At 43.9% G+C, this 21,093-nt stretch overlaps 1 annotated feature.

The window, feature by feature from the left end:
* Positions 14,411-15,015: an enhancer, noted in NCBI's record as "OCT4-NANOG hESC enhancer chr15:39822787-39823391 (GRCh37/hg19 assembly coordinates)". NCBI's record gives its function as "activates a minimal SCP1, AML or CMV promoter by ChIP-STARR-seq in primed H9 embryonic stem cells {active_cell/tissue: H9 hESC(primed)}" and the evidence as "EXISTENCE:reporter gene assay evidence [ECO:0000049][PMID:30033119]".

The raw sequence follows: 21,093 nt of genomic DNA, 5'->3' as shown, positions 1-21,093 counted from the left end.
CATCCTTGCATTCCTGGGATTATCCCACTTGATTATGGCATAAAATCCTTTTAGTGTGCTATTGAATTTGGTTTGCTAGTGTTGAGAATTTTTGTGTCTACATTCATTAGGAATATCAACCTGTAATTTTATCTTGCTGTAGCATCCTTAACTGGCTTTGGTATCAGTGTGATGCTGACCTCATAAAATGAATTTGGAAGTGTTTCCTTCTCTTCATTTTTTTGGAAGAATTTGAGAAGGATTGTTGTTAATCATTTAAATGCTTGATTGAGTTCACCAATAATGCCATCTGGTTCTAGGATTTTCTTTGTTGGGAGGTTTTCGATTACTGATTCAATCTCCTTAGTTCTTATTGGTCTGTTTAGATTTTCTATTTCTTCATGAGTCAGTCTTTGCAGGTTGTATGCTTCTAGGAATGTATGCTTCATTTCTTCTAGATTATCCAATTTGCTGGTGTGTAATTGTTCATCATAGTCTCTTGTGATCCTTTGTACATCTGTGGTATCAGTTTTAATACCTCCTTTCATTTGTAATTTTTTTTGAGTCCTTTCTTTTTTCCTTGGTTAATCTAATTAAAGTTTTGTCAATTTTGTTTATCTTTTGAAAAAACCCACTGTAAGATTCATTGGTCCAACTTGCCCAGCTCTATTATCTGCCCTCTTTATGTCCTCTAACAAGGGAAGCATGATGATGCTTCAGTTCCCTAGGTATCCATGTTATTTTTGACCCTGCATCCATCAACCTCAAAGTGTCAGGATATTCCCCTTTCCTCAGTTTAGAGTTACTTGAGTAAACGGCTATAGGTCCTTTAGGCAAAAACTGAGGCAGTCATTACCTTACACACTTGCTGTGGCACTGCAGAGCTGTTCCTTCTGGGTACCTGGTCTCTCCTTCAGTCAAACACTGGAAGATCTGAAAACTGGTTTAGTCCTGGAAACTGGGTAAAGGATTATCACTTTTTAATTTTTTTCTTATTTTTTTTTTTTTTTTGAGACGGAGTCTTGCACTGTTCCCCAGGCTGGAGTGCAGTGGCGCGATCTTGGCTCACTGCAAGCTCCGCCTCCTGGGTTCACGCCATTCTCCTGCCTCAGCCTCCTGAGTAGCTGGGACTACAGGCGCCCGTCACCACGCCCAGCTAATTTTTTTGTACTTTCAGTAAAGACGGAGTTTCACCGTGTTAGCCAGGATGGTCTTGATCTCCTGACCTCGTGATCCGCCTGCCTCAGGCTCCCAAAGTGCTGGGATTACAGGCACGAGCCACCATGCCTGGCCCACTTTTCAATTTTTATAATCAGCTTGGCCTACAGAGGACAGGCAACACTGAGTTTCTTGACGCTGTTGCTGCTGTGCTCCCATTACCTCTCTCATCGCTCTGGTGAGCACAATGTCTTTCTGATATGTCTTAGAACATCATCTGCTGGTAGGTTTTCCAGCTCCCATTTTATCTCTACATTTTATGCCCACCCCTTTGAGTCTTTTGGTTTCTTCTTTTATAATATATTATGGTAGAATATGGTAGTTTCCAAGAGCTATGCTAGCAGAACATTAACCACCATCTGCCTGGGTGCCTACCAGAGTTGAACCCTGTATTGTAAGAGAGTAGCTTCACAGCAACAATCTCTCCCTTATTCAAATTTGTATTATACTCCCCTTGATCCAGGCTTCTCAGGCTTTAGTCCCATTTACAGTTTACTGACCTCTGCTGGCACATTTTGGCTGGGACCTACAACCCCTTTGGGGTTTGGGCTCTTTATTTTCCTAGCTGACTCAGCACTTTCCTGGCCAGCTTCTATTGCAACTCGACTCTCTAGTGGCCAGGAGGGTAGATGTGAGCCAAATCCCAAGAGAAGACATACTGTTTTACAGGCAGAGAACCCTGTGTTGTCTTCAACTAAGGGGTCTTTACTTGAAGAGGAGTGCATCACTTCTACAGGAGCAAATGGTTCTGAGGGGATCTGGAGTTTCAAGATTTGCTGGGATTAAGAATTCTACCTTTTTTGAGTTGTACTATACTTATAATTAAGTCGTTGGCCTGATTCTCAGATTTTTCTGCTTTCAAACTACACAAGATGAGAGTCACTTTTTAGTGCTGCCAAGGAAGTCCTCTGGCTATCACAATTTGATTTCAATAGACAATTGATCAGCTCCCCTTTCCCAGATTTCCCTTCTTTTTTCCCAGCACATAGATAATATTCAGCATCAGCAATCCCAGTTTCCCCAGAATGGCTCAAATGTCAAAGATATTGCATCCTTTGGTGCATTTCCTTCCACTTATATCCCATCCCACTGACCACCAAGGAATATTTTAACACTCCAGTATAACATGTGAGGGCCATACAAACTTCAGTTTTCACTAGTGATGGGGTCCTCATTGTTAATGGGCTAGGAGGTGCCCATCTCCTAAGTTCTATTTTAGAGTCAGCTTCCTCTGACCATTCCTGACATCCACTGCCTTAGGTTGGTTTTCCCATGAAACACTTTGAGACAGAGATTTGTTAGCAGGAAGATATTGGAGAGAGCTCTTGAGAACAACAACTTGGAGGGACCTAAAATTACAAGACTAGTCCCAGAAAAAAGCTGAATTTTGGAATACATTGCAGCAGTGGCTTCAGTTGATTCAAGGGCACCCTGGAGCTGGGATGGCTAGTGAGGATTGTTCCATACTGAGGCATTGAGGGGGGCTGGACCTTTGGGCCTTCAAATCAGCCAGTCATTGGATGCCAGTTTTTCCTGTGGAGCATAACCTTGTGTGAGGCAGCTGCTTTCAACCAAAGATAACTCCTGGGGAGAGACTCAGCTGTGAGCAGCTGTCAGACATGGCGGGTAGAATAACAGCCCCCAAAGATGTCTATATCCTAATTCCTGAAATCTATGAATATGTTAGATTACATGGCAAAGAAGAATGAAGGTTGCAGATGAAATGAAGATGTAGATATTATACTGGATTATCCAGGTAGGTCCAGTATAATTACAAGGATCCTTATAAAGAGGAAGGCAGAAGGGAGAGGGTGTCAATGACGTAATGTAAGAAAGATTCAACTTTGAAGATGGAATGGGGCCATGAGCCGAGGAAGGCAGGCAGCCTCTAAAGGCTGGAAAAGACAAAAGAAAAAAAAAGTAAAAAAAAAAAACAAACCCAGAAAACCAACAGAAACAAACAAAATAGATTCTTCCCAAGAACCTCCAGAAAGGAATGCAGCTCTACCAGCGTCTTGATTTTAGCCACACAAGACCCATTTCAGACTTCTGATGCCTAGAACTATAAGTTAATACATTTGTTTAAGACAGTTTTAGCATTTGCCTAAAACATAAGCCATGAAATTTGTGGTAATATTTGTGAGAGCAGCTATCAGAAACCAATGCAGCAGGCTATCCTCTTGCAACTAGGAGAATGGCTCCCTTGGTTCTGAAGGAAGAGTCTGATGGCACATCAGAACACTCACTACATATTTTCAATTACCCTCTATGAAATATGTACCATTTTATATCTCTGCCTACAGTGTGTGAGTAATGCCATCAGCAACACAGAGCATTATTTAGGCCTATAACTACTTTGTCTTCCCTTCTCAGCATGTTTGCAATATTTCAATGTTGAGCTCCATTCCAAGAAGTTCTGGTAATTTTTTTTTTTTGAGACAGAGTCTTACTCTGTTGGCCAGGCTGGAGTACAGTGGCATGATCTCAGCTCACTACAGCCTCCACCACTCAGGTTCAAGTAATTCTTGTGCCTCAGCCTCCTGAGTAGCTGGGACTACAGGTGTGTACCATCATGCCTGGCTAATTTTTGTATTTTTAATAGAGATGGGGTTTCAGCATGTTGGCCAGGCTGGTCTTGAACTTCTGACCTCAGGCCAGATCTGCCAGTCCCGGCCTCCTAAAGTGTTGGGATTACAGGTGTGAGCCACCACACCTGGCCACTGGTGAAGCTTTTGAGATCAGATTTTCCATTCAATGTTGGAATCTTGTTTTTTGTTGTCCATGCTCTGACATTGGAACATAGAGATCTGAGTTCATTAGTGTTGTTTTTGCCTGATTTTTAGTTATTTCTTCATGTGGTTCACTGATCACCTTTCCAACTTTATATTTCTTGCCACATCTCTTATTCTTAATAGCTTCTCTTCATTTTTTTATCTGGCATTTCTTTCACATTAGTTAAAGCTTCTGAATTAGTTCATTTGGTCTCCAGGCATTGTGAGAGATGTTCCACTCTTAACTAGAGGCTCTACATTTAGTGTCTGAAATCCAGAACTAGAAATACACAACTGGTTTTGAATTCCGTTTGTCCACTGTCTTTTGTTTCTCATCCCTTCCTTTCTTGTCCATTACACCCGACCTTTCGTTGGAAGAATCAATGGGTAAAGCCACTGATCATCTTATGCCATTTACATTTTCTGTCTCTAGAGAATGTGTCTCAAACTTCTTCTACTGGTACTCTTTTATCTCGGCATGAAGAGGAAAAGACAATAAATTAAATCCAAAGAACATCTATTATGTTCCAGGTGCCATTTCATTCTAACTCTGTAGCCAAGATTGGGGTAATCAGCATTATTCCTGTTGTATACACAAAGAAAAGTTGTTTCTGTTTGACTCAAGTTTATACTCTTTTCATTACAACCATTGGTATAGAAATACCTAAGCACATCTATCATTAGGAGGCATAGAATTTTGCTAAATGATGGCCGCCTCCTTATCACCTCTCAAAGGACGATGTACCTCCTCATTGTCTACATTATTCAGAGAGCCAACTTCCTACCTGTCTTCCAAACCTCCTCTCCCACAGCCTGCAGGGGGTGAATTATCATCATGGTTCCTCTTCAGTGGTCCACACATCTTTTTCAGAAGGACTGGACTTAACTTCCAAAGAATGAGGCTCAGACCGATTGTGTATTTCCAAGAAAGCAAAAGTTTCCTTTTTTCTCGTTTCACTTCTATGCCAGGTGTTTTCATTCATCCTTGTCCTATCTCTGGTTTTGATTTCCCCTTGCATTCTTGAAAGTTTGACTTCCTGTTTTCCTGATGTATTATTTTGTGTATTGCAGACAGTGACTCTTCCTGCTCTACAATAAATCAGAGAGAAGAGAGGCCTTCCTCAACCCTTTCACCTTCTCTTTTGATAGGATGACCTACTTTTTTTTTTCTCTCTCTCTCTCTCTCGCACACACACCCCTATCCACAGTCCTGGTGAAAACAAATAGAACATACCTTGGCAGGTTGCTGGGGCAATTGCTCAGCACCCATACCTAGAGTTGGCTTCTCCAGTGAAATTACCACCCCTTGTATCTCTAATTGACACCACCCTTGGCTAATTTCCCTACTGCAGTAGCAAGATACTTTTGGCTGCGCTGTCCACTTCAACTTTATATTGCCAAGGGCACCAATAAATCATTTTTTACTTTGCTCCCTTCTTACTCCTTTCCTGGTACCTCCCTTTCTTAGGCCACGTACTGCTATTTGGAAATTCTTGGAAAATTGCTGCCAGCCAGCTAGCTACTCCAAACAGCTATTGGTTTGTTGCTTATCCAGTAAATAGAAAACCTGGAAACATTTTAGAGAATTTTTCACCTTTTCTACCTTCCAGCCTCTGTAGCCAGGCCAAACTGGGATTCCACTCTTGAATCTGAACACAGGAAATAAGCTTAGGAACCATCTATGTCTGTTGGTTCCTGGGCATTCTTGGGACTGGAGAGTGTTTCTGTCTTGCCAAAAATGCTCGACTGGCTACAGGCCTTGGAGGGCAAAGCAAGGACAACTTTAAAGACAGAAGCAAAACTGTACCCTGTGTTCTGAGTCTGCCATTAAAACAAAACAGGAAAAGGCACACATCTTTCAGGCCCGGAGTTAATTCTGTGTAAAGACGAAGCACTGTAAAGGCCACATATTCATGAAGGAACTTTCTCCATGAGCTGCCAAACTTCCTGTGGTTGCCTTTCTGTTGAGAAAGTTAAAGTTCATTCTTTGGGATATTTGGGTGGCCATTCAGCTCAACAATACAGAGTCTTTGTTCTTTTCATTTATGTTTGCCTTGTGGTCTTTCCTCAAGACAGGGCAACTCTATTCTCTCTCTCAGATACCTGGTTTGCCAAAATGGCAGACACATTTCTCTCTGGGACAAGGCCACAGATTATTTATGGGACACAAAAAGTTAGGGAATCTGAAGATTAATTTTCTTCTGCAACTCTTTTTACCTCAGTACATTTTGAATCAGTTTTGTGTTTTCTTTTCCTGGGAGAAATGACATATTGCCCTATTCACAAAACACAACCTATCCGGGAAGACAAGAACATTTTAATATATGTTGGCTTTCTCTTGCTTAGAAGGTTTTCTCTTCCCACAAGGTTTTCAGCCAGACTTCAAGGACCTGGAATGCTGTGGGACTGGCCCAAATCCTGGACAAGCCCTTGTGAAAAAGGTCTTCTTGAAACCTCTTATCCTCGTGCAAAGGAGGCAGGGCCGTAGCCACATGAGCTTTCTCATAAAGTCTCTGCTGCCATCCAATGACAATGAGATGATTATAAGGAGGGAAACAGCTGTGGCTGACTCAGGACAAGTAAAGGAAGCAACAGGGACCCCAGACAGACACTTTCTGCAAATCTTTATCAATGAGGGGTTCTTGGGAAAGTGAAGAGTGGCTTTTCTATAATTTTATAGAGTAGATACAATAGATAATTCTTACCTATCCTTACTTTCCTAGCCATTTCCACACTCTTCAATCTAGGCTATAGATCTCCAAGCCTCCAAGGGCTGGACTATGGCTGGTGACTGCTGACCAGTCATAGCTGCTCCCTGTCATGGAAACTTAGCATAAGGTAAAATTAAGGAGATACAAGACTTGACAAGTTTCTCTTAGTCTCTTTGCTTGATTAATTTGAGGCTGTGAGTTAAGGGGCTTATAGACATCTATGGGACTGCATCCCTATGAGACGGACCCTGAAGATATTCGTACCTGGCATTCTTCATGGATCCTCCCATGGCTCAGATTTGTAGCAGCATCATTTACTTTACTATTATGAATCCTGCTCATTAGTGGAATTTTTTGAAGGCCTACTGTGTGAAAAGCTTTCTCCAGGCATTGTAGAACATGAATACGGAATTATTCTTGCCCTTAGGCAGTTCAAAGTCCTCTGTGTGTGTATGTGTGTGCACAAGCACGTGTGTGTGTGCACTTGTGTGTGTGTGCACCTGTGCATATGTGTCTGAGAAATAGAAAGGTTGAAATGAGAAGAAATAAACTATATAACTCCCTAGAGCATCAGATTTGTCTTCTACCAGTGAGAGTGCAGTGGGGTGTTCAGAAGATGGGTTCTTACATGGAACATGATTCCTTTCATCACAAAGCCAGTTGGGGGTCATGTGGAGGCCAGACTGCAGAGTACCCATTGGTTCTGAATCCCCAAAGGCTTTGGGGCCACAGATGAAACTCAGCAAGAACACGCCTCCAGCAACCTGGCTCAGGTGAAAATCAGGCCAGGCCACCAAAGTTCTTCCACTAATGCTCAATCTCACCAGACTTTCCTTTACATGTCATTTGTGCTTTAGCCTCCACCTTCCTATGAGGCTCCATCAAGATGTAGAAGACTGTGCTTGCCTAGTGCTTCCAGCCAAAGATTACCTTTATTTGAGCCCAGAAACAGCTGATCTCTTCCTTCCCAATAGAGTACTTGAGATTAAGAAGTATCCTGATTGAGAGGGAAGACATTATCGTTGATCTCAAAATGTAGGTTCTCCTGTCTGACTATTGCTCCTTATCTTCCAACTCTCCTTTCTGCCTTCATACTCATCCCATTTGTTCTTTCCCTTCATGAATGCATGAATTCTCTGGGACTGGAAAATTCCCATGGAGCTGCTGCCCATGGAGGTACAAGGTGCCATACCAAGGTACAAGGATGCAAAGGTCAGGGGCAAGGTTGGATCAGGGACCGTGATTATATATCCAAGGTGGCTGGAGGGAGTTTGCAAATCATCATTGTGCCGTGAATGGGGAGAGAGAGGGTAGTAAGAGTCAAAACTGGAGTTGTATCTAATGTCATGTTCAAGGGCATGGCAAAACCTTAACAGGGAAGGTGGAGTATCAGAAGATGAGACTAGGAACAGGGCAAGAAGCTGAATGTGAGTCCCAGAAGCTTCAAGGTGAGAACTAATGCTGTGAGGGGAACAGGGGGGCTGCGATGTATTTTCAGATGGTGTGAATTGCATAGAACATGGTCAGGCCTGCTGGAAAAAGGGGCCATGCAGAAAGAATTATGAGGGCTTTAAATCACTTAGTCTCGACCCTCTGCCTACTCTGTGAGCTTTTTCCTGGCTGCACAGGACCCACTTTGTACTCTAGATTGCAGTCAACTGCTTCAATATTATCCAGTATTTGGGCTTACTTAAATAGCCAAGTTTTCTAAAGTGCTTTATGATTATATCGTAAGCTCTTTGACAACAGAGCTGTGTCGTCTTTAGAATTTCTCATAGAACCTAGCATCATCTTTGCTGGAATAATAGATGTAGAGCAATTGAAGTATGGCTTCCTTGCAGCACCTACGCTTACCATAGTTTCTGTTGAGGCAAGGTAAAATTCCCTAATGCACCCATGCTTCTAAAGGACTCTGCCCATTACCTGTAGATTTGGAGGGGCCAGGCCCCTTGCTTAGGCTTATGCCTTGTTTTCCTACGTGTAATACGAACCTTATGCATTTAGGGTTTACCTGGTATGTACCATCTGCCATACTATTGTGTGTGCCATCTGCCAGATCATGGGCTTCCAGAAGCTTCTCTGAGGCTTGTTCACTGTAATGACTCGCTTGTGCCTTGAACATGTGCTTCCTTTGGGCCTCCCAACCTAGCCTTTAAGCTGTGAGTATGTTCATGTTCATTTCTCTAGACTCTGATCTTAAATTTGTCCTCAGGACTTTGAGCAAGCACATTTTCTCTAGAAATTACCTTGGCCAATGTCTCCAGTCTAACCGATCTTGTTCTACATCAGTGTCTCTCAAATGGCAATCCAGAGTCCATCTACATTAGAATCAGCTGGAAAAACTGGAAACATGCAGATTCCTGCCTGCTGGATCAGAATCTAGGGCTGAGCTAGAATCTGCCTTTTAACAAGTTTTCCAATGGATTGCTGATACACCCTAAAGGTGTATCATCTGTTGAATGACCATCTGTTCAGTCCTACCCAGTTGGTGTGGCTCTAAGACATTGCCCTCTGTGTATCCTGTGTTTCTGCTACTCAGGACCTGGCTGCTGAATGCCTTCACCGTGGTGCATCAGACCCCACTGCTCACACCCAAAAGTAGGGCTCCAACCCTGTCGGGCGCCTCTCACCTCTGGTCTCGTGATCTGTCCTCAGCCACCCTTCAGGGACTCCCTGTTCTTAAATGTGCGTCAGCTGCTCCCAGAGAGTCTGAGAGCCACACTAGACCTGCAATGCCTCGTCCATGGCTTTCTTTCCACTGAAAAGAGGATGGACTCTTATTAGGTACAACAGGGTAACTGAAAACAGGTTGAAGTTTCTGCAGCTTCAGTCACAAGTGGGAAAAATTTCTAGTGTCCATTTCCAAATCAAGTAGTAGGGGGAACTGGTAACTCAGCAGCCCAGTTGTTGAATGGGAGAGCAAATAAAGCAGCCTCCTCATGTTTCTGCTTGCTTTTGTGATTTTAAAAGGACAATAAAATGTAGAGATTATAAAATAGTAAAGGCAAGCTTTGTAAAGGCCTTCCCAATGTGAAAGAACTTTTACTATCTTTCATTCCGACCAGGTCTTAGCACAGGAAGCAGGATGCGAGCAAGGCCGGGACCTCTTCTGGGATTTCTGCTCGGGCTGGGCTCAGCCACAGGTCAGAGGTGGGAAGCGTCCCCTCCACTGCCTGGAGAGGGGAGAACAGACCCCTCTGTCAGTTCCTGCTGATAATAACGCAGCCTGCGTGGGCAGACATTGTGCATCCCCTGGCTGGATAGAACACGTGTCTCAATGCCTTTCTTGTTCTTCACCTTTGTGTAGCATGTGGCTTGGCAGGCGAGAGGGGATTAGGAGGCCTGTTGACAGAAATCCTGGTAGAATTCCATGTTTGAGAAACCCATCCAAAGGCGATAGCTTTGGGGCTTCATTAGGGTGGTTATCAGATCCAAAAGTGTTTTCCAGAGTGTGGACCCCTCCCTCCATGTTCCTGTTCTTATCTCTCTAATCTCATGAAAGTGGGGAAGGGCTAGAAACTCTTTCTCAAAAGAGACTTACGAGAAATAGCTCCCAGACTAAACTCTTTGCTCTGTGTTCACTCATGTACTTGTTTTTCAAAGCTTGCCAATTAAAAGAAAGAAAATTGTATGTGTTCAGACAAGTAGGGACCCACAGGCTGATGCGGTCAGAGGGCCACTGATGCTGAGGTTGCTCAGAGACTGGGAAGGTGGCTCAGGATGGGGTGAGCCCCTATTTCTCAGAGGTGCTGGCCTGGCCTATTTACTCCAGAACACTTAGGCCCTTAGAGGCCACGATTTCGGGGCTGCTGTGACAAATAGCCTTGGAAAGGTCATGCAGATGCATCAGTGGCATGCAGAACCTGCCATGAGTCTTGAATATAGTTGGTCTTCAAAATGTGATTGCCGAATATATAACATTGCCTTTTAGCGGGCTTTTTGTTTTATTAACCAATGCAGAACTATGCCTTTGTTTCATTCATTCTTATGTAATGGCAAACATAAAAAAATAGGTGTCTTACTCTATCTTGCTCCTAATATTGAGTCAGAGGAACTCCAAGATCAAGGTCTCTCAAAAGAGTGGTTCCCCCAGGTTCATGGACATGTTATTTCTGTGCACAAAATGAATTAATGAATGTGCATAAGACAAGGCCAGCTATCTAGAGAGTATTACCTTGTTCCTCACAAGCTTTCTTTTGACTTTTGAAAAACATGCTGCTTGTCTTGTAAGCAGTAAGTACTCATTCTCCTCTACAAAGGAAGCTTTAAAAACTGGCTAGCCTCAAGGTGGTTTTTCCCTGTCTTGCACTGGGAATACAAGCTCCTTTATCTCAAACATCTCTGGTCATTTGAGGCTCACTTGACATCCTGTAGCAGGGAGAGGTCAGGGCTGGAGATGTAATGATGGAAATCATTAGTGGTTTTAAAGCCATGAGATGGGTGAAATCACCAGGGGGAGTAGATAAAGAGAGAAAAGAGAAGAGGTTGAAAGACCAGGGGCACTGTAACACTAAGTATTTGGGGAGATGGGAAGAAACAGACAAAGAAGACCAGGAAGGAGCGGTGAGAGAAGTAGGTGGACAATCAGGCATGTGGGGTGTCCTGAAAGCCAGAGGAAGACAGTATTTCAAGGATGCAGGAGGGGTCAACCCTGAGGAATGTTGCTGAGAGGTGTAGTCAGCTAAGGGCAAGCTCTGCCACTATTTTAACAATGTGAAGTTGTTGGTGACCTTGGAAAGGACATATTTTGGTGGAGGGGTGGTGGTGAAAGCCTGATTGGTATGGGCTCAAAAGATTCATTAGTCTTTGCTGCTCCATGAAGTGGAACAAAACAAGAGCATCAGCAACCTCCAGTCAGGGCTGATGATACCCTGTTCTGCCTGTATTATCTCCCCTAACATCCTCTCAGGAATTTTCTACACATTCCTTAGTTGATGGACATACGGACAAAGTTCCAATCAGGAGGAACTATGTCACCAGATTTTGGGATTGTAACAGTTATTGCCAAGTGTTTCAAATTGAAGCCTCAGCCTTTAGGTAGGACCATACACCACTTAAATAGGAAGGTGCCCCTTACAGATCATTGAAACTGAGTCCCCTTATTTTACATATTGGGAAGCTAAGGCTCAGATCTGGGAGATGACTCACTGAAGGTCATACAACCACTCTGAGGCATTGCCCCCCTTCTTCCTCCCAGGTGTACCTGGTGGATGAGAACCTGTACTTTTAAAAAAGATTACTGGGGGACAGATCTCCTATTTCTTTCATTTCCTTCAGATACCCACTTTGGGGCAAATTTTCTTTACAATAAATAAATAAAACTACTCAGATTGTAATATAAGCCAATTTTCCATATAAAAGATGAAGCCTACTTGGGTCCAAAAATCTGGGAAGACCCTAGTCAGGCAGCCTATTCTTTGAGAAATGAGAGGGACCCTGTGGCCCAATAAAGGGCTCACGTTCAGCAAAGACTCCAGGCTGGGGCTTCCCACACTCCTTCTTGGACTTTTTCTTTTTTTGAGTTTCGCTCTTGTTGCCCAGGCTGGAGCGCAATGGCATGATCTTGGCTCATCACAACCCCCACCTCCTGGGTTCAAGCAATTCTCCTGCCTCAGTCTCCTGAGTAGCTGGGATTACAGGTGCCTGCCACCACGCCTGGCTAATTTTTTTTCTTTTTTATTTTTTTATTTTTTGAGATGGAGTTTTGCTCTGTCGCCCAGGCTGGGGTACAGTGGCGCCATCTCTGCTCACTGCAAGCTCCGCCTCCCAGGTTCATGCCATTCTCCTGCCTCAGCCTCCCAAGTAACTGGGACTACAGCCGCCAGCCACCATGCCTGGCTAATTTTTTGTATCTTTGGTAGGGATGGGGTTTCTCCATGTTAGCCAGGATGGTCTAGAGCTCCCAACTTCAGGTGATCCGCCCGCCTTGGCCTCCCAAACTGCTGGGATTACAGGCGTGAGCCACCATGCCTGGCAGGACTTTTTTTGATGTAAGCAGAGCCCCTTTTGCCAGCTTCCTTGGGCTTATTCCCCCATAGATGGCAGCTGGGATCCCAGCCTCTTGCCGGTTGATATTGTCATTCTTGGAGGGGGCCCAGGTTGGGCTAATGCTCGTGTGACTAGAGCTTGCTGGTGTTGAGGGTGTTCATCTGAAGTTCATGACCACTAGGCTTGATCTAAAAAAAGGGACGGAGCTTAGCCCCTCCACCGGGGAGTTATTGATTCTTAACCAGGGACCCAATATACCCTTCAGGCTAGTCAACTGCCTGCTCTGCCGCTAAAGTTCTCCTTCTGTCCAGATACTAAAGTACAAACCCTTGCTCTGCCCTTGGAGGGGAAACCAGGCTGTGGTTGAAAAGCTGTCAGTTCCTGGGCTGGGCCTGTGTCTGCCACCACCTTCTGCAGACCTCCTACCCCCATGGAAGATAAAAAATATAAGCTCTGGACTCACTGGGGTTAGCAGCACAAAGCTTTGATTTAAAATCTTTTTATAAGTTGGTTTACTAAAAAGAGAATGATAATAACCATTCGACCCAGCAATCTTATTACTGGGTGTATATCCAAAAGAAAAAGAAAGTTCTATTGAAAAGACACATGCACTCATATGTTCACTGCAACACTATTCACAATAGTGAAGACGTGGAATCAACCTAGATGTCCATCAACGTTGGAATGGATGAAGAAAATGTGGTGCATATACACCATGAACCATTACAAGGCCATAAAAAGGAACAAAATCATGTCCTTTCCAGCAACATAGATGCAGCTGGAGGCCATTATCCTAAGCAAATAAACACAAGAACAGAAAAGCAAATACCACATGTTCTAAGTGGGAGCTAAACATTCAGTGCACATGGACACAAAGAAGGGAAAAATAGACACTGGGGACTACTAGAGTGGGGAGGAAAAGATGGGGGCAAGGGTTGAAAAACTATTGGGCACTATGATCGTTACCTGGGTGATGGGATCATTCATACCCCAAACCTCGGCATCATGCAATATATCCAGGTAACAAACATGTACCCCCTGAATCTAAAATAAAAGTTAAAAATAAAATTAAATAGAAAAAGAGAGCTTATAATTTGCTTTGTTCAATAACTGGAAAGAGAATCAATGAAAAAATAGAAGATCCAAGTGGGAGAGAAGTGAAACATTGGTTCTCAAGCTATGCTCCCCAGTAGAATCATCTGAGCTTTTAAAACCCTTAATACTTTGATCTCACCCTGTGTCAGTTAGATCAGAATTTTGGGAGGTGGGAGGTAAGCATCAATATTTTTAATAACTCCCCAGGTGATTCCATTTACATCCAGTTTGAAAAGTCTGTTAAAGTGTATCTCAAACTTGACTCTGTCTCACAATCATCTGGGGTCATGTTGAAATGCAGATTCCGATTCAGTGGGTCTGCAATGGAGCTTGACAGGCATCCAGGTGATGCTGAAGCTGCTGGTGTAGGGCCCACAATTTGAGATTTGAGTAGCAGGATGCTAAAAATGCTAAAGTCTTTGACACTCAGAGCCCAGCAGCAGGACCTCAGCCTGCAGGGAAAGGGCTGTGTGCCCTGGAGCAGGTGGATGTGAGAGGCAGGGGCTGTAGCAATATAGAGAGAAGCTGTAACCAACAACACACTCTCAGAACTAGTTAAGGGATATTTCAGCCCTCAGCTAGAACGGGGAGAGAAACATCTGGCCTGAAGGAGGTAGAAAGCCTGTGCTTACTTGTTGTGCTGACTTGGAGGGGAGTGCTCTTGTGGGCTGAGCTCAGGGTCCTCAGTGCCTCACTGCTGTTCTGGCTCCCTTGCCCTCTGGCTTTCATTTGCTTTTCCAGAAAAGGTTCTTCTGTGGCTTGAGGATACCAGTGCCAAGTCTCATGCACAGTCCTTGCAGGCCCTGAGGCTCTCTGCTGAGATTTGGCATGGGCTCCACTATCAGATCCTGATGTTATCACTTCCCGAAAGCTGTTGCTTGCTTCGCTCTTGTGCTAACAGCAAGCTCCCTTTCACAATGAAAGAGAGTCATTTGGAGAATGCTTTTGATATGTGGTTGTTTTGCATGCATTAGGCTTGTGTTCTAAAAGAGGGAGTGCACAGATCAAGGGGTGCTATGGTTTGATTGTTTGTCCCCATCAAGCCTCATGTTGAAATTTGATCCTCAATGTCGGAGGTGGGGTAATGGGAAGTATTTGGATTATGGCGGCAGATGAATAGATTGGCGTCTTCCCTGGAGGTGAGTAAATTCTCACCATTAGTTTCCATGAGCCTGGCACCTCCTCCCTCCTTCTTTCCTCCTCTCTAGCCATGTGACTCCTGCACATGCTAGCTCCCCTTCACCCTCCACCACAAGTGGAAGCAGCCTGAGGCTCTCGCCAGATGCAGACATCCAAGCTTGAAGTTTTCAGTCATCTAAATCTTGAGCCAAATGCACCTTTTTTCTTTATAATTTATCCAGCCTAAGGTATTCCTTTATAGCAACACAAAATGAACTAAGACATTGGAGAATGGTTAAAATCCAGAGGCAGGTTGGGAGGAAGGAGGAGAGTTCAGGAGGAAGAGCAAGATGGACTTGGGGTTGCACAGGAAAGCACTTGGGAAAGTGATGATGTGATGGTTAATATTGAGTGTCAACTTGATTGGATTGAAGGATGCAAAGTATTGTTCTTAAGTGTGTCTGTGAGGGTGTTGCCAAAGGAGATTAATATTTGAGTCAGTGGACTGGGAGAGGTAGACTCACCTTCAATCTGGGTGAGTACCATCTAATTAGTTGCCAGCACAGCTAGAATAAGGCAGGCAGGAGAAAATGGAAGAGTAGACTTACTGAGTCTTCTGGCCTTCAACTTTCTCCCATGCTGGATGCTTCCTGCCCTCAAATATTGGACTCCAAGTTCTTCAGCTTTTGGACTCTTGGATTTACACCAGTGGTTTGCCAGGGACTCTTGGGCCTTTGGCCACAAACTGAAGACTGCACTGTTGGCTTCCCTACTTTTGAGGTTTTGGGACTCGGACTGGCTTCCTTGCTTCTTAGCTTGCAGATGGCCTGTTGTGGGACTTCACCTTGTGATCATGTGAGTCAATACTCATTAATAAACTCCACTTTATATATACATCTATCCTATTAGTTCTGTCCCTCTAGAGAACCCTGACATTTTCCCTGGTGGGGAAAATGGCCAGTATGGTCATGGCCACACAGTTGAGACTTTACGTAAGGTAGGTTTGGCTCGGAGTAAAGGTATCTACTTAGCTACGTTGAAAACCAGTCTAACATCTATGCAGATGTTCTCATTCTTAGTGTTCACGTCATTCTTGGTTTCACATCTACCTCTGTTCAGGGTTTAGATTTTTAAATGCTCCCCAAAATGTCCTCTCACTTGGTCTCTGTAACTCCATTTCCCTGTGTGGTAGGAATAAGGGCTGACAATTTTATATTACTAATTGGATGTGCAAAGAAAATGTAAATTTTATTTTCCATAATGGAGCTAATCTTGCTCCAGTACCCTCCCCCAGATGGGTAGAAAAGAAAACATGTTTCTAGTTTTTCAAGTTGCCAATTAAAGCATCTCAGACTCACTCTTTTGGTTTGAAAGTGTCTTTCAGTTTAAAATAGTCACCTTTGTAGAAACATCTCCTTGGGGTAAATTCTCAACATTTCAGGCTCCTATCTCTGTTTTTTCTCCTCTCCAAAAAGTGGTTGTAGGGCCTTATTTGGGTGGGGAGGGGCCCCAGATGCATGCATGCAGGCTTGTATTGACCCCTGTGTTCTTTCTGCTCTCTGTAGCCAGACCATAGATGGGTCTTGTCCCTGGGTTCCTGTGCAGAGCCCTTCTAGCATTTGAGGGCCATCTATGGACAAGTCTATTAATCTATGATACAGTGTGAATGTTTGTGTTCCCTCCAAGATTCACAGGTTAAAACCTCATCTCCAATGCAAGAGTGTTGAGAGATGGCACCTAATGTGAAGTGTTTAGGTCATGAGGGCTCCATCCTCATGAATGGATTAACGATTGTATAAAAAGGGCTCAGAAAAGTGGGTTTGCTCTCTTCTGCCATTCTGCCATGTGAGGAAAGAGGTCATCCTCTCTGGAGGTTGCAACATTCAAGGCCCCACCTTGGAAGCAGAGACTGGGCTCTTACCAGACCCCAGACCTACTAGCGCCTTGATCTTGGACTTCCTAGCCTCTGAAAGTGTGAGAAATAAATTTCATTCTTTATAAATTACCCAGTCAATGGACTCACAATCTAGTCATTTGCTGAGGAACTCAGAGTCTTCCCATTTTCTCATTTCTAATTGGATGTGCAAAGAAAATGTAAAGGTTACACAGGACCTTCTTCTTGGCTGGATTTCTAGAGCATGTCTCTCTCTGACTTAATCCCTTCTCCTAGTGCCCCCAGTGTGCCTTATTCATGAGAAGGCATTAATTCTGATGCTCTTTCCCTCCTTTAGAACCATGGAACTAGATTTTGTGGAAAGGGAGGTGTTACAGGTTTAATTGTATTCTCCTCAAAAAAGATATGTTGGAGTTCTAACCTCTGGTACCTCAGAATGTGACCCTATTTGGAGGTAGGGTATTCACAGTGGCAACCAAATTGAAATGAAATTCTTGGAATGGGTTATAGTTCACTGTGACTGGTGTCCTTATAGAAACGGATAAAAGGGAGAAATTTCAGATGCAGAGACACACATAGAAGAAAGATGACTCAGGAGTTTGAGGCCAGCCTGGCCAACATAGTGAAACCCCATCTCTACTAAAAATATAAACACTAGCTGGACATGGTGGCGCGCACCTGGAATCCCAGCTACTCGGGAGGATGAGGCAGGAGAATCACTTGAACCTGGGAGGTGGAGTTTGCAGTGAGCCGAGATCTTGCCATTGCACTCCAGCCTGGGCAACAGAGCAAGACTCTGTCTCAAAAAAAAAAAAAAAAAAGAAAGATGACATGAAGATGCAGGGAGAAGACAGCCACCTGCAAGCCAAGGAGAATGGTCTAGAATGGATCCTTTCCTCACAGTCCTCAGAAAAAATCAACTCTCTGGACGCCTTGATTTTGGACTTTTAGTTTCCTGAACTGAGAAAACTAATTTCTGTTGTTTAAACTACCCACATTATGGTACTTTATTATGACAGCTCTAGTGAACTAATACAGTTGACCCTTGACCCTCCAACATAGTTCATTAGGGGTGCTGACCTCCAGCTCAGTAAAAAATCTGAGTATAACTTTTGACTCACCCAAAACTTAACTACTAATATCCTACTATAAATAGCTGATTAGCACGTATTTTGTACGTTATATGTAATACATACTGTATTGTTACAATAAAGTAAGCTAGAAAAAAGAAAATATTATCAGGAAAATTATAAAGAAGCGAAAATATGTTTACTATTCATTAGGTCTTCATCTTGTCTTCACAGTGAGTAGAATGAGGAGCAGGAGAAAGAGGGGGAGTTGATCTGCTGTCTCAGGGGTGGCAGAGGAGGACGAGGTAGAGGAAGTGGAAGGGGAGGCAGGAGGGGCAGATAGACTTGGTGTAACTTTCATTGAAAAAACATCCACGTGTAAGTGGACCTGCACGGTTCAAGCCCATGTTGTTTGAGGGTCAACTGTGTAGGAGGAATTGTTTCTGCTATTTTTTTAAACCCTGAGTAAATTCATCTTTCAAATCTAATATTCAGCTCTCCTAGCAGAACTGGGTGTTCTCAATACTGAATAATAAAACCTCCCCCTAGAAGTTTTGAGGGGTGTGAGTGGCTAGAGATTAATATCTTTCATATATGTTAAATAATTTAGGAGGGCTGGAAGGAACATTCCTCTTCCATCTCATGGAGAATGTAGTTCCAAGTATGGAGTATGTATATCCAAGATTGTTGTCTTAGCTCTGAATATATTTCTACTTAATCCAGATTCTGCCTTGATCAGATCAGATCAGACCTCTCCCATTTCCAAACCGGGATGGCAGAACCACAGGTCCCAGTCCTCTGTTTGCCCCCATGTCTGAAACAATGCTTCTCCAGCTTTCCATAACCCACAGAAAGGATATTGTGACAGTGTGACATGCACCAGACTTTTATAACAGGTGCTTAAATTTTACTCAAAGTCGGAATGCTTCCAGTTGGCCACTGTTAAGTCCAAAGTTTCTGTCCAAAGAGCACATTCGCCATTCCTGGAGCTCAGAACGTGTCTCTTAACAGAAATCCTGGGCTGGGCAGCTTTCAAATATGGACTTTGGCAGATGGATGTGGTGGCTCACACCTGTAATCTCAGCACTTTGGGAGGCCAAGGTGGGTGGATTTCTTGAGGCCAGGAGTTTGAGACCAGCCTGGGAAATGTAGGAAAATCTCATCTCTACAGAAAATTTAAACATTAGCCAGGTGTGGTGATGCACACCTATAATCTCAGCTGCTTGGGAGGCTGAATTGGGAGGATTTTTTGAGCCCAAGAGTTTGAGGCTGCAGTGAGCTATGATCATGCTACTGTAACCCAGCCTGGTTGACAGAGAGTAACCCTGTCTTAAACAAACAAACAAACAAACAAACAAACAAACAACAAAACCAATAAAGACTTAGGAAATCTCTCCCTGAGGATGGCTGCCAGATGCTGGGTGCCCTCAGAGGTCACAACCGTACAGCCACACCTGACCATCATTCTGCTGGAGGCTGCCTCCTTCCACTGTGACCTGGGCTTAAGCTGCTTCTCTGCACAACACTTCTGTGGCTTTAGAGCCTTCTAAATCTTCCTGCCGAGTCTTGCTGGAGAACGCAACACTAAAGACATTGGATAGAGATGAGCTTAATGAAGGAGAGGGTGGAAACTCCCGAAAATTTGGTGTTGGATGACATATTAGCAATCATTCTGCTCCCCCACCCAACCTTCCCCAGCCAGGGCGAGATTTTACTGATGCTGAACTTCAGCTGAGGTTCCAAGATGTCAAGTGATTAGCTCAGAGTCACAGAGGGGTTAGAGGCAGAGTTGGAAACAGATCCAGATCTGCCTCCCAAGTCAGGCCTCCTTCCTTTACAGGAGAAATAAGATGAGGCAGCTTGGTTTGTTGATTGAAAGGCCAGTATCTTCTTAGTTTAGTGATCTTTTTCCTCTACCAAAGCTAGTCCTTTCCTAATACATGAAAATACTCCTGCTCCTGGGACACCTCAAGTCCCTTCCTCTAGTCCCTTTCCTGTTCTCTCTAATCCAACCTCATTCAGGGTCCTCCACCACCTGGCCCTCCATCCCTCCATCCTCCCCTCCTTCCTCATATTTGCCCTGTATTTCTGGGGTTGAGCTATACACCATTCTCTTGGCCATGTCTCCTACCAGTATTTCCTAGCTTTTGGTGTTGGTAAAAATCTTCTGAGGACCTGAAAAAATGGAGATTCCCTGGTGTGTGTTTCATCTTGAGACATTCTGGAAAAGGAATCTGAAGTTTAACAGGAGTCCTCTGTGATTCTGATGCAGGGGAGCCAGAAATCCTGCCTGAGAATCACTGCTTTACACCTTCCCACCTCTGTTTGGGCATTTTTCTGCTAGTGTGGTTGAGGGCTTTGGGATTCCTACTCTTTCAAGTATGAGCTAAGTGAGCTTGGTCAAATCAAATCACCTTATTGCTCTACACCTGTGATGGTTAAGCTTGCGTGTCAACTTGATTGGAATGAAGGATGCAAAATATTGATCCCGGGTGTGTCTGTGAGGGTGTTGCCAAAGGAAATTAACATTTGAGTCAGTCGGCTGGGGAAGGCAGACCCACCCTTAATCTGGGTGGGCACCATCTAGTCAGCAGCCAGCACACCTGGCTAGAATATAAAGCAGGTAGAGAAACATGAAAAAGCTAGACTGGCCTAGCCTTCCAGCCTACATCTTTCTCCCATGCTGGGTGCTTCCTGCCCTCGAACATCTGACTCCAAGTTCTTCAGTTTTGGGACTTGAACTGGCTCTTTCCTACTCAGCTTGCAGATGGCCTATTGTGGGACTTGTGATCATGTGAGTTAATATTTAATAAACTACTATATATATATCTATCTCCTACTAGTTCTGTCCCTTCAGAGAACCCTGACCAACACAACACCTCATTTCACACCTGTCTAATCTGGACATCAATTCCTATATTCTAGGGGTGTTGTGGAAGATTAAAAAACAGTGCTTTGAGTAGTAACATTGCCTCTGATCAGTTGATAGCCACAGAGAATAAGGTGTAAAGTTTTCTTCCTTGGGGTAGGTATGGTCTAAAACGTGGTTTGCAGAAGATCAAAAAGCTCCTTAAAGTTTAGAGAAATTCGAGAAAAAATCTTAAGCAATCAGCTAGGTAGAGAAAAAGTGGGATCTTGATGAAGACCTTACACAGTCCTCATAGGTATGGAGGGTTGGGACCCAAGACTGACCCAAGCCAGGTGATCTAGGGCAAGTCACACGATCTATCTGAAGCTCAACTATCTCA

This window comes from Homo sapiens, chromosome 15 (genome assembly GCF_000001405.40).
Source record: "Homo sapiens chromosome 15, GRCh38.p14 Primary Assembly".
Classification (NCBI taxonomy): domain Eukaryota; kingdom Metazoa; phylum Chordata; class Mammalia; order Primates; family Hominidae; genus Homo; species Homo sapiens.
The sequence above is the reverse complement of the archived record's forward strand: the minus strand, read 5'-3'. Positions and strand labels throughout refer to the sequence as shown.